The sequence below is a fragment of the Homo sapiens genome, chromosome 3 (assembly GCF_000001405.40).
Source record: "Homo sapiens chromosome 3, GRCh38.p14 Primary Assembly".
NCBI classification, from domain to species: domain Eukaryota; kingdom Metazoa; phylum Chordata; class Mammalia; order Primates; family Hominidae; genus Homo; species Homo sapiens.
The window spans coordinates 112,647,081-112,661,289 of NC_000003.12; positions in this window are offsets into that span (position 1 = coordinate 112,647,081).

Sequence of the window (14,209 nt, forward strand, 5' to 3'; positions counted from 1 at the left end):
AATGTTGATGAAGGGGAAGAGGCCATTTTAGATACCCTTATCCAAAGAAAAGGATTTTAAGTGAGAATGGAAAGCAAGTCACTCAAGTATTGGGGGAGGGGAAGAACATTCAGAGTAGAGGGAATGGTGAGTGCACAGGCACTGACACCCGGGCTATTTCACAAGCTTGTTCCAGAAGAGCAATGTTGGCCGATTTTAAGCAAGGATGTGGCAAAGCTTGATATGTGACTTAACAGGAATGCTAGGAATGCTGCCTGGAGAATAGAGTGTGGCTGCAAGAATGACAACAGTTAACCAACTGGTGAGGAAGATAATGTAGTGGTACAAGTGAAAGGTGCAGTCTATTGAACCAGCGTGCTAGAAGCACGGTAAGTGCAGAAAAGTCACTCGATGTGGTATATATTTTGAAAACAGAGCTGACAGAAGCAGTTTGGGGCAGAAAGAATCAAATGTTTTGTTTGAAATTCCCATCAGACACTCTGATACAGATGTCAAGCAAGCAGTTAGATACATGAGTCTGGACTTCGAGGAGGACTGAGGCTGGAATTATAAATTCGAGAGGCTATTTAAAGCAAGCTTGCCCAACCCGTGGCCCATGGGCTGCATGCAGCCCAGGGTGGCTTTCAATGTAGCCCAACACAATTTGTAAACTTTCTTAAAACATAGAGATTTTTTTTTACTTTTTTTTTTTTTTTTTTAGCTTATCAGCTATCGTTAGTGTATTTTATATGTAGCCCAAGACAATTCCTCTTCTTCCAGTGTGGCCCAGAGAAGCCAAAAGATTGGACACCCCTGATTTAAAGCCTAAGGCTAGAAGAAATTACTTAGGGACTGGTAGAGGAAGAAAAAGAGTAAAGGACATGAAAGAGGAACAGCTAGTGTGATGGGGGAAAGGCAGGAGCACGCAGTGTTTTCAGTAGCCGGCAGCTGGGACCATGTTACTTCTTTGGCCGTTTCTCCACAGGTCCTTGCTACATGTGTCCAGATTCAGCTTATTCATCAGTGTCCAGGCCCTGCATCACCTCCTCCACAGGGTTTCCCGATGCTCCAACCCAGATGGCTCTCTCTTCTCTGAGAAGCAATTCTGTAGAGCATCACTCCTCTGATCTTTTTGTACTTCACGCATAAGTTCGTGTTCTCCTAAGCAGATCTTTAGCTTCTAAGAACATGGATTAGTGTTACATTATTTTGCATCCTTCTTATCATTCTGGTATATAGTAAAGGTGCAAAAATTTTAAGTGCATGTCAATCAAATACATTTAAAAACAAAGACGGAAAAATCCCAGAAGGCAACCCAACTATGAACTATCACTTTAAAGAAGGAAAGAAAAGAAGAAAAAAACTCGACACTGCTATTGAGCCAGGGAGTCTCTTTAGCCTCTATGTACTAAATAATAAGAGTAGAAACAGAAGACATATCACTGTAAATCATCAAAATTAAACCTCTTTTTTTTTTTTTTTTGAGAAGGAGTCTCACTCTGTCACCTAGGCTGGAGCAGTGGCGCTATCTCATCTCACTGATACCTCTACCTCCTGGGTTCAAGTGATTCTCCTGCCTTAGCCTCCCAAGTAGCTGGGATTACAGGCATGTGCCACCACGCCTGGCTAAATTTTTTTGTATTTTTAGTAGAGATGGGGTTTCACCATGTTGGTCAGGCTGGTCTCGAACTTCTGACCTCAGGTGACCCACCTGCCTCGGCCTCCCAAAGTGCTGGGATTACAGATGTGAGCCACTGTGCCCAGCCTACATTCACACCGTGTGCAACCATCACCACTATCCATCTCTAGAACTTTTCCATTATCTCAAACTGAAACTTGTGACCCACTAAACAATAACTTCCTGTTCTCCCTTTTCCTTAGCCTCTGGTAACCACTATTCTGCTTTCTGTTTCTTTGAATTTGACTGCGAATAGTTATTTTTAATGAATGAAATGTGCCTACCACAATGCTAATACTCAGTTAATGGTGGAGGAAATAATACCTGCACAAGAGCAGTCATAAACTCTTAACATCCAGCCTAAGGCAAAAGTCTATCAAAACAACATAGATGGCATGCATCTGTAGTTCCAGCCACAAGGGACGCTGAAGTGGAAGGATCGCTTGAGCCCAAGAGTTTGAGGCTGTAGTGAGTTAGGATCACACCACTGCATTCCAGGGTCAGAAGGAACTCAAGGGTTAGACAAAAGTGCTAAGCATCTAACACAAACAGAAATTACTGAAAAACAGGAGATTTACCTGTTAAGTATTAAGTATTACCATGCCAATTTGTCATGAAATCAGAAGCCAGGGCAATATGTTCCAGTTGGTCTTCCAGCCAACAGACTCATCCTCTCTAATCCATCCTCCAGTGGCCATCACTATAATTTTCCTAAAATATCAGTGTTTCATTCCTGTGGCAAATTCCTCAACAGTTTTCTTATTGCCCTCAAGTTACATTTCAGCATCTTAATGAGGCTCACAAGCCCTCCCACGGTCTATTTCACTTGTATCTTGTTGGCTTCCCTACACTCTTGCATGACTACTCTTCAGACCAGCTCTCTCACCAATCCTAGGATACCTCCTCTCTCATATCTTGGCATTCATGGTTATAATATTCCTTCCATCTGGAAAGCTCCTCCCTCTTCACTCTGGATCTGCCTGTTAATTTTTATTTACCCTTCAAGACTCTACTCAAATGTCATGTCATAACACTTAGAATAATTTTCTGGCTTCTCCCTGACCAAACTGAATTTGGTGCCCCTCTCTATACCTCTATAAGAACCTGTGGGTTTCACTTTTTAATGTGTATCATTTCTAGTCTGTTCCTCTACTCTAAATGTTAAGCAATTTGAAGGTAAGGACTGTGTCCTCACCATCTAGCACAGTTTGATTAGCAGATGGTAAACTCCCAATTACAATTCATTGAATGAGTGAATGGTATAACAAATACATGCAAACTCATAAGCTTTGTATTCAAGGCAGCATTTCAGAGTAAGCAGAGAACTGTTTTCTAGTTTAGTCAGAAAAGGAAACTCAGTGATTAAGCAAACATTGATAACTGTTAAATATAAATGTGAGAATCTCTGACTATGCCTAGGTATTTGTATTTTATTTCTTTAAACTCACCCAAAGTTCAGCATTACTTAAATATATTACATTTATATTTATATCTATATCTATCTACACATACAACAAATATATGTGTTTACAGATATACACATATCTGTAAATATGTATATATACATATAATCTAAACACACAAGCAAATATATATATATTTGTGTGTGCAGATAGAAATATACACAGATACATATATATATATATATATATACACACACATATCTGTAAATTGCTGTACCTATAAGGTTCACACTTAGTGTTGCTATTATCTCATTCTTGCAAGGAATAGTTTTTCTTCTCATTGAATACAATGATATATTTTTTACTCCATGGCCCTTTCAAATATGTGCCAAGTAACCAGTCAGATACTGTGAAATGACGTAGTGTGATTTCTGAGCATAGGTCATAAAAGCCACTGTGACTTCTGTTTTTCCCTTCTTGGATAACTTGCTCTGAGGGAAGCTAACTGCCATCCTGTGAAAACACTCAAGTAGCTCCTTGGAGAGCTCCATGTGTTAAGGAAATGAGGCTTCCTGGCAACAGCCAGCACTGACTTGTCTGCCTCATGAGTGGGCCATCTCAGAAGCACATTCTCTAGCTCCATTCCAGGCTTCGGGTAACTACAGCCCTAATGAACTTCTCAACTGCAACCTCATGAGAGACCCCAAGACAGAACCACTCAGTTATGCTGCGCCCAAATTCTTGACTTACAGAAACTATGTGAAATAATAAATGTCTATTGCTGCTTTAAGTTTGGGGGTAGTTTATTATGTAGCAATAGATAACTAATATCCTTGATATATACGTTGGGGAAGTTCACACATTTTTAAAAACACAAAGAATGTTTAAAAGCAATTGAAAGTAATAAAAAATTCATAGAATTGACTCCATTGTTGGGTTGCAAAGAAGACATCAACTTGAGTAATCTTTTCATTATTATCCAAACCAGGATTCTGAGAGTGAAAGAGGAACACTTTTAATAATTAAAAGAGAACACCAGGTATAAACTGATATGGTTACAGGAAAACCAGGACATGCAGTCACCCTATATGTCATCTGACCTGAAAAGAGATCGGCCAGAAAAAAGCTGTCACTGGGTGTAACCAGTGAAGAATGGTGTAACCATCTCAGGCTGTGAGAAGCAGCCCAGGACACCGGAGAAGAGGCCTGGGAACTTTTTGGACTAAAATGCAGCATGAAATCAAAAATAAAATCTGGAGAATTGAGTAAAAAAAGATGTTGCTTTCTCAAGTGAGCAGAGAACTTCAGAAAGATAACTCAAGGCTCCCCGGGCCTAGAAGTTCCCTGAGCTGGGACATAGGTAGTGATCCTGGCAGTAACAGTGGAAACCTAATGATGGTCTGAAGTTGGATCCAGCTGAAAGGAGTAATGAGATGCCTACAATGTAATATCTGAATGGAGCTTGCTACCCTGAGATTTCCTCCTGTAAAGAAGTTTTTGAGCTCTAACCACCAGATAAGTATGACACAGAAGACGCCCTGGGGAAGTTCAAGAAGAATGCATGGCTTCAGGGCTGTGATCATCAGGAGAAAACCACTTGGGGGTTTGAGTGTGGGCTGCACAGATTTACTGGAATTATGAAGCATGCTAGACACACCTCACAGGGCATATTGAATAGTGAACATTCCCATATATGAACGGAGAGCAGAGCCACAGAACCTTTGCTTCCAGTTGAACAGCAGCTTAGTAGCATGATTTGGAAATTGGGAAGCAGTGATTCCATTAATTAAGGGTTTTAATAACTTGGTTATTAAAAAGTTTGCCTGGGTCTAAACTTGGAATAAGATGGAAAGAATTTGTTTTTACCATGTTGGGCCTAAATTAACCTGGCTACACAAAGAGTTGCTTTTTTTAAGAAAAAAAAAAAGGCAGAAAGAAGAAAGAAGATGTGGTTTAAATTTTATTTTAAGAACAAAATAGCTTATTTTATATATATACACACATACACATATATACATATATACACATATATACATATATACACATATATACATATATACATATATACATACATTCTCACACATATATGTGTATGTACACATATGTACATGTATGTGTATATATATGTATGTATGTTTTTTTGAGACAGAGTTTCGTTCTTGTTGCCCAGGCTGGAGGACAGTGGTGCGACCTCGGCTCACTGCAATGTCTGCCTCCCAGGTTCAAGCAATTCTCCTGCCTCGTCTTCCCAGGTAGCTGGGATTACAGGCACGAGACACCATGCCTAGCTATTTTTTTTTTTTTTTGTATTTTTAGTAGAGGCATGGTTTCACCATGTTGGTCTCGAACTCCTGACCTCAGGTGATCCACCTGTCTCAGCCTCCCAAAGTGCTGGGATTACAAGCATGAGCCACCACACCTGACGCTTATTTTATTTTTTAAAAATTGTAGCTTTAATTTTATTTGTAATTTATTAGTGTCTCAAAATAGATGACCATTAAAACATGACGTATGTACACCTATACATGGTGAGCAAGTATATCTGAATTATTGAGATTTTTGTACGAGTGATTATGGTAGAAATAGAGCATAAAACAATGTCTTAAATCCAGAGGTTATTTTTGAGTTTTTAAACAAATATTTTATTATGTGCAAGTGAATAATATCCACCCAATTTATTGATATGACAGAGGTACTTGGGGAAATATTTGAAACTGTTTTACACATATTCAGAACTTGATAAACTGATGATTTAAAGAACCAATTTATCTCCTGTTTTTCAATTACAACACAGCCAGTTAAATGTTCACTCGACTATTCAAATTCAACTTACTTCTGTGAAAAGAATAACCCAGTTGCTTTTCTTTCTCCTTTTTCTCTACTGTGCTTTCCAGCATCCTTTCAGCTATACTTTCACATGCCCAAATATTAGAGAATATTTCAGCTTACTATAAGGAAGATGTTCTATAAGAGCTATTTAGAGAAGGGGAGAGATGCTTGGGGAGGCAGAAAGCACCCTGTTGGAGAAGGTGTTAAATTAAAGTGGGAGGAGGGATCCTTAACAGAGAACTTAAGCATTAGGTGCCTTTTATAAAATGTATGAACTCAGATGTTGGTCGTAAATATACAACCTTTGGGGCAAGGCGGCAAGGTAAAGTGTTTGAAGAACGGGTTCTGAGGTATCGTCCTCTGTGGGAGTTCTTCAGTTACTTGTTCATCATTAGGAGAAAGGGCTTAGCCTCTGGCTGCCTTCCTTGGTTACATAAGCCTTTCATCCCTGAGGGCCCAACCCTAAGGCACTGGTTGCTTATTTGAATGAAGAGCATTTTAAATTCTAGACTTTGAATCTGTTAAAAGCTTATCTGGTTGGCTTGGTATCATTTTCTTCTATGTTGGTAAATTCATGCCAGACACATTTATTTAACACAATGACTTTTATGTGAGGCAATAGGACAAAGTCTTCAGCTACCCATCTTGTTCCTACTTCATTAGTTCTCCCTGCCTTGGGAATGAGTAGCCTACCCTCATCTTTGCCCCTGGCTCCAAACACATCCAGCGCAAACACTGAGAACTGTTCTGTGGGACATACCAAGACAGTGTCTCATGCTCTCTGGAGGTCATCATAGAAATCTGATGTAGACTACAAATATGTAGATAATTCTCTTTGTGTTTGTCATCCAGACACCCTGTGAAGGCTGGCAAAAACTGTTCTTATTCTCCAAATATTCACTGGCGTGTATTTGTGTAGTAAAATTATGTTTCGGGTTTGGAAATTTTTTTTTAAAATGAACATCTGTTATTCTCTTTCAGTGGAGAGGTTCTCCACACAGCTGAGCAGGGCAACTTGGCTTCGTCCACCATCTATGTAAAGTCACAAATGGAGATTGTCACCCGGCAGCTTTTTGTTGATTGGCTGACCAGCTGCCGCACATCTCCCACAGCTGGTTTGGCTCTGAAAGGCTCATGGGAGAAGAGACAGTCAGGGTCAGCTTGTTCTGTGCACACAGCTCACGGGAGCTCCAGGAGCAGGGATAGATGTTTTGATCAGCCATTACTGAATGCTAAAGTCATAGGCCTGAGTGGGTGTGAGGGAGGGAGAGGGGTTTGGTATGTGCATTTTAGGATGTTGAATCATAGCAGCTTAGTTTTTAGAGCAATCATTTTTACCTCCTGGTGTCTCTCTTCCCTATTTCTGTGATATTAAATTATAGAGAATGTAACCTGTGCTAAGGTAAATGTACTAAAAAAAAAACTGCTTTAGTTTTTCCAAAGAAATAAGATCTTTGGGTCCATTTTATAAGTCCCATATTATTTTGAGAAGGAAGTTTGTGTTCAATATGTCTCAGTACTCCTGAATACAAAAATACTTCAGGTTCCATAGACCACTCCAACTGTGAGCTTCTAGACCCTGGATTTCAAGAGGGCCAAAATACACGGTTAAAAGCACTCTTTCCAAATTCTTCAGCAAAATTATATTGATAGTCATAACAATACATCCTATATGCAGTTGTAGATTACTCTTCCTGACTCAAGGCACACTATTTCTGATTCACAGCTCTAGCGAAGTTATTGTCTTCTTCAATTTCCTCCAATGGCTCACAGCTGTCAAAAGTACAGGTCACACTCTTTAGCTCAGCATTCAAGGTCCTCTATGTTTTGATCCTCTGATCCCAAACTATTTGTCCAAACTCGTTGCCGACTACTGCCGTTAATGCCTCTTTCAATCCAACCAAATGCATTACATACTGTTTTGTTACTGTTGTTGCCCCTCATTCTCCCACTTCTGCACCTTTGCATGTTCTGTTCCCTGATCTCCTCAAGTCCAAATGCCCCCTAATTGTCTAGATCCAGTTCAAATGCATCTGCTCCATAAAGTCTTCCCTGAGCCCTCTCCAACTGGACCAATCTCTGTCTCCTCCAAATATCAAATCCCTCTGCCCAACCCTCTCTCAAAGCACCTATTAGTACTTTCTGTCTGGAGTTATGTAAATAGCTCATAGTGCCAGCTGTCCTACCTTCCTCCAGCAGGGGCAGGCAGAACCTATGTCTAGTTTACCTTTCTACTTTTCTTAGCGCCTTACGAATAGCGCGTGCTTGATATATTTTTGTTACAAATATAGCAATTAATATTTGTAGATAACTTCAGAATTTACAAAGTGGGTTCACATTCATTACTTCACTAAATTTTCAAAAGTGAAAGTAGAAAGAACATGATTTTTAAATTACAAATAAGGAGAAGAGAAAGGCAACTAACTTTTAATCAGAATTAACTTTTACTTATTTATCAAACTATTATTTATATCATTATTAATGTCTGCCTCTTCTGCCATATTGTTAAACTCCATGAAAACAAGAACCATGCCTATTTTTTCACTGTTATATTTCTATTGCTCAGCACATTGCCAAACATGGTGTTAAAAAGACAAACATTGTTGAATGAATAAATGAGTGAATACCATCAGCCAAGCTGTGGGTTCAGTGTACTATATTTACTGTTTTACTCTCACAGCCAATATTATCTTCATTTAACAGCCAAGGAAATGTAGTCTCCAGGGCACACAATGCTTATGTTTGTAGCTGGAATTGAAACCCTTATAAAACCCTTCAACTGGTATTACTTTATCGAAACCCTTATTAAACCCTGTTTATATGATTATATTATACGATTATAGATAGCATGTGGTTTTCCATCACACAATCAGCCTCCCATGAGGTAGGTGCCTTTAAGTTGTTTTTCTTTTGTTGATGTTATTGTTGTTGTTTACCCCAATTGCTTTCTAATTCCATTTTTAAAAAGAATTGTTCAGAATTACTGTAACTTGACTTAAATATTTATCTTTGTAAGTTACAGACACCAGAGTTAAAAATAGTGGAAAAGGTGTTAGTCACTATTGCCAAGTCCAATAGTATCATTGTGTGAGGGTAGTTGGGGGTGCATTCTTGGAAGAGAGGGGATAATTTTCTAAAGATTTCTCTACCTCTACTGTATTTCCCTACTTTCCTCTAAAATAACTTTTTTATCTAAGAGCAAATAATAAATTCTCATCTCAATTTATTTTGTGCTAAGTCATCCAGAGGAATATTCATAGTTACATTTTGGTGATTCTCTTTGAAGAGAGGAAATGAATATGTGCTGAGTGACCTCTTTGTCAGGCCAGAACTTTTTTTTTTTTTTTTTTTGAAATGAAGGCTCACTCTGTCACCCAGGCTGGAGTGCAGTGGTGCTATCTCAGCTCACTGCAACCTCTGCCTCCTGGGTTCAAGTGATTCTCCTGCCTCAGCCTCCTGAGTAGTTGGGATTACAGGCGGCTGTCACCATGCCTGGCTAATGTTTGTATTTTTAGTAGAGATGGGGTTTCACCATGTTGGCCAGGCTGGTCTCAAACTCCTGACCTCAAGTGATCTGCCCGCCTTGGCCTCCCAAAGTGCTGGGATTACAGGTGTGAGCCACCACACCCATCCCAATGCCAGAACTTTTAGGTGAATAACCTGATAAAGTAAATATTATTATCACTGATATATTATTTATTTATTTATATATTTATTTAATTTTTTATAATTTCAACTTTTATTTTAGATTCAGGGAGTACAAATGAAGATTTGTTACATGGGTACATTGCATGATGCTGAGGTTTGGGGTACCACTGATCCTATCACTCAGCTAGTGAGCATAGTACCTAATAGTTTTTCAAGATTTCTTCCTTTCTCCCTCCCTCTCCACTCTAGTGTCCCCAGTGTCTATTGTTCCCATCTTTGTGTCCGTGTATACTCAATGCTTAGCTTCCATTTATAAGCGAGAACACGCAGTGCTTGGTTTTCTGTTCCCGTGTTAATTCACTTAGGATAATAATCTCCAGCTGCATCTATGTTGCTGAAAAGGACAAGATTTTGTTCTTCTTTATGGCTGTGTAGTGTTCCATAGTGTATATATACCACATTTTCTTTATCCAACCTACTGTCAGTGGGCACCTAGGTTGAGTCTATGTCTTTGCTATAGCGAATAGTATACAAGTATATGTGTCTTTTTGGTAGAATGATTTATTTTCCTTTGCGTATTTACCCAGTAATGGGATTGCTTGTTCGAAAGGTAGTTCTGTTTTAAGTTCTTTGAGAAATCTCTAAATGGCTTTCCACAGTGATTGAACTGATTTACATTCCCACCAACAACATATAATGGTCCCTTTTTCTCCTCAGCCCCACCAGCATCTGCTGTTTTCTGACTTTTTAATAATCGCCATTCTGACTGATGGGAGATGGTGTCTTATTGCGGTTTTAATTTGCATTTCCTTGATGGTTAATGATGTTGAGAATTTTTTCATATGTGTTTTGGCTGCTTGTATGTCTTCGTTTGAGAAGCATCCATGTCTTTTGTCTATTTTTTAATGGGATTGTTATTTGCTTGTTTGAATTGTTAAAGTTACTTACAGATTCTGGACATTAGACCTTTGCCAGATGCATAGTTTGCAAATATTTTCTACCGGTCTGTTTACTCTGTTGATAGTTTCTTTTGCTGTGCAGAAACTCTTTAGTTTAATTAGGCCTCACTTGTCAATTTTTGGTTTTGTTGCAATTGCTTTTGAGGACTTAGTCATACATCCTTTCCCAAGATCAAAGTCCAGAATGATATTTCCTAGGTTTTCTTCTAGTATTCTTAGAGTTTGAGGTGTTACATTTGAGTCTTCACTTGATCTTAAGTTAATTTTGTATATGGTGAAAAGTAGTAATCCAGTTTCATTCTTCTTTGTATGGCTACCCAGCTATCCCAGTGCCATTTATTGAATAGGCAGTCCTTCCCTCATGGCTTATTTTTGTTGACTTTGTCAAAGATCAGATGGCTATAGGAGTGTAGCTTTATTTCTGAATTATCTATTCTGTTCCATAGGTCTATGTGTCTGTTTTTGTACCAGTACCATGATGTTTCGTTTACTCTAGCCCTATAGTGTATTTGAAATCAGGTAATATGATACTTCCAGCTTTGTTCTTTTTGCTTAGGACTTCTTTGGCTATTCAGGCTCTTTTTTGGTTCCATATGAATTTTAGAATAGTTTTTTCTAGTTCTGCGAAAAGTGACAGAGGTAGAAAAAACTAGTTCTGGTAGTTTTTGGTAGTTTGATAGGAATAGCATTGAATCTGTAGATAGCTTTTGACAGTATGGCCATTTTAATGGTATTGATTCTTCCAATTCATGAACCTGGAACATTTTTTCATTTGTTTGTGTCATCTATGATTACTTTGAGCAGTGTTTTGTAGTTCTCCTTTTCGAGATTTTTCACCTCCTTGGTTAGATGTATTCCTAGGTATTTTATTCTTTTTGTGGTTATTCTGAATGGGATTCAATTCTTGATTTGGCTCTTTGCTTGAACGTTATTTGTGAATAGAAGCGCTACTGATTTTTATATATTGACTTTTGTATCCTAAAATTTTACTGAAGTCATTTGTCAGTTCCAGGAGCATTTTTGGCAGAGTCTTTAGGGTTTTCTAGGTATGGAATCATAGAATCAGTGAAGATAGATAGTTTGACTTCTTTTCTTATTTGGATGCCTTTTATTTTTCCTCTAGCCTGACTGTTCTGGCTAGGACTTCCAGTCCTATGTTGAATAGGAGTGGGGAGAGTGGGCACCCTTGTCTTGTACCATTTCTCAAGGGGAATGTTTCCAGCTTTCTGCCCATTCAGTATGATGTTGGCTATGGATTTGTCATAGATAGCTCTTATTTTTTTTTTTTCCAAGGGTTTTAAGAGCAAAGTGTCAGGAATCAGGAGCAGAGACCAAATATATATTTATCACAAAACCCTTGAATTATTGTATTGAGTACTTAGTGTGGAATACCTGGTCTATATGTCTTTCTCCTTTTTGAAAAGGTCAAAAGGCAATTGTTGAATCCTCAGCACCTGATACTAAGATGGCAGATAGTAGATGTGCACTAAATGTTTATTGGATTGATTACCTGCCCCACCTACTTTCTCTTTCTGAAATACCCTTGCTTCCTTTTTTTTTTTCTTTTTTTTTTTTTTATTATTATTATACTTTAAGTTTTAGGGTACATGTGCACATTGTGCAGGTTAGTTACATATGTATACATGTGCCATGCTGGTGCGCTGCACCCACCAACTCGTCATCTAGCATTAGGTATATCTCCCAATGCTATCCCTCCCCCCTCTGCCCACCCCACAACAGTCCCCAGAGTGTGATGTTCCCCTTCCTGTGTCCATGTGTTCTCATTGTTCAATTCCCACCTACGAGTGAGAATATGCGGTGTTTGGTTTTTTGTCCTTGTGATAGTTTACTGAGAATGATGGTTTCCAGCTTCATCCATGTCCCTACAAAGGACATGAACTCAACATTTTTTATGGCTGCATAGAATTCCATGGTGTATATGTGCCACATTTTCTTAATCCAGTCTATCATTGTTGGACATTTGGGTTGGTTCCAAGTCTTTGCTATTGTGAATAATGCTGCAATAAATATACATGTGCATGTGTCTTTATAGCAGCATGATTTATAGTCCTTTGGGTATATACCCAGTAATGGGATGGCTAGGTCAAATGGTATTTCCAGTTCTAGATCCCTGAGGAATCGCCACACTGACTTCCACAATGGTTGAACTAGTTTACAGTCCCACCAACAGTGTAAAAGTGTTCCTATTTCTCCACATCCTCTCCAGCACCTGTTGTTTCCTGACTTTTTAATGATTGCCATTCTAACTGGTGTGAGATGGTATCTCATTGTGGTTTTGATTTGCATTTCTCTGATGGCCAGTGATGATGAGCATTTTTTCATGTGTCTTTTGGCTGCATAAATGTCTTCTTTTGAGAAGTGTCTGTTCATGGCCTTTGCCCACTTTTTGATGGGGTTGTTTGTTTTTTTCTTGTAAATTTGTTTGAGTTCATTGTAGATTCTGGATATTAGCCCTTTGTCAGATGAGTAGGTTGCGAAAATTTTCTCCCATTTTGTAGGTTTCCTGTTCACTCTGATGGTAGTTTCTTTTGCTGTGCAGAAGCTCTTTAGTTTAATTAGATCCCATTTGTCAATTTTGTCTTTTGTTGCCATTGCTTTTGGTGTTTTAGACATGAAGTCCTTGCGCGTGCCTATATCATGAATGGTAATGCCTAGGTTTTCTTCTAGGGTTTTTATGGTTTTAGGTGTAACGTTTAAGTCTTTAATCCATCTTGAATTGATTTTTGTATAAGGTGTAAGGAAGGGATCCAGTTTCAGCTTTCTCCATATGGCTAGCCAGTTTTCCCAGCACCATTTATTAAATAGGGAATCCTTTCCCCATTGCTTGTTTTTCTCAGGTTTGTCAAAGATCAGATAGTTGTAGATACGCAGCGTCATTTCTGAGGGCTCTGTTCTGTTCCATTGATCTATATCTCTGTTTTGGTCCCAGTACCATGCTGTTTTGGTTACTGTAGCCTTGTAGTATAGTTTGAAGTCAGGTAGTGTGATGCCTCCAGCTTTGTTCTTTTGGCTTAGGATTGACTTGGCGATGAGGGCTCTTTTTTGGTTCCATATGAACTTTAAAGTAGTTTTTTCCAATTCTGTGAAGAAAGGCATTGGTAGCTTGATGGGGATGGCATTGAATCTGTAAATTACCTTGGGCAGTATGGCCATTTTCACGATATTGATTCTTCCTACCCATGAGCATGGAATGTTCTTCCATTTGTTTGCATCCTCTTTTATTTCCTTGAGCAGTGGTTTGTAGTTCTCCTTGAAGAGGTCCTTCACATCCCTTGTAAGTTGGATTCCTAGGTATTTTATTCTCTTTGAAGCAATTGTGAATGGGAGTTCACTCATGATTTGGCTCTCTGTTTGTCTGTTGTTGGTGTATAAGAATGCTTGTGATTTTTGTACATTGATTTTGTATCCTGAGACTTTGCTGAAGTTGCTTATGAGCTTAAGGAGATTTTGGGCTGAGACAATGGGGTTTTCTAGATATACAATCATGTCATCTACAAACAGGGACAATTTGACTTCCTCTTTTCCTAATTGAATACCCTTTATTTCCTTCTCCTGCCTAATTGCCCTGGCCAGAACTTCCAACATTACGTTGAATAGGAGTGGTGAGAGAGAGCATCCCTGTCTTGTGCCAGTTTTCAAAGGGAATGCTTCCAGTTTTTGCCCATTCAGTACGATATTGGCTGTGGGTTTGT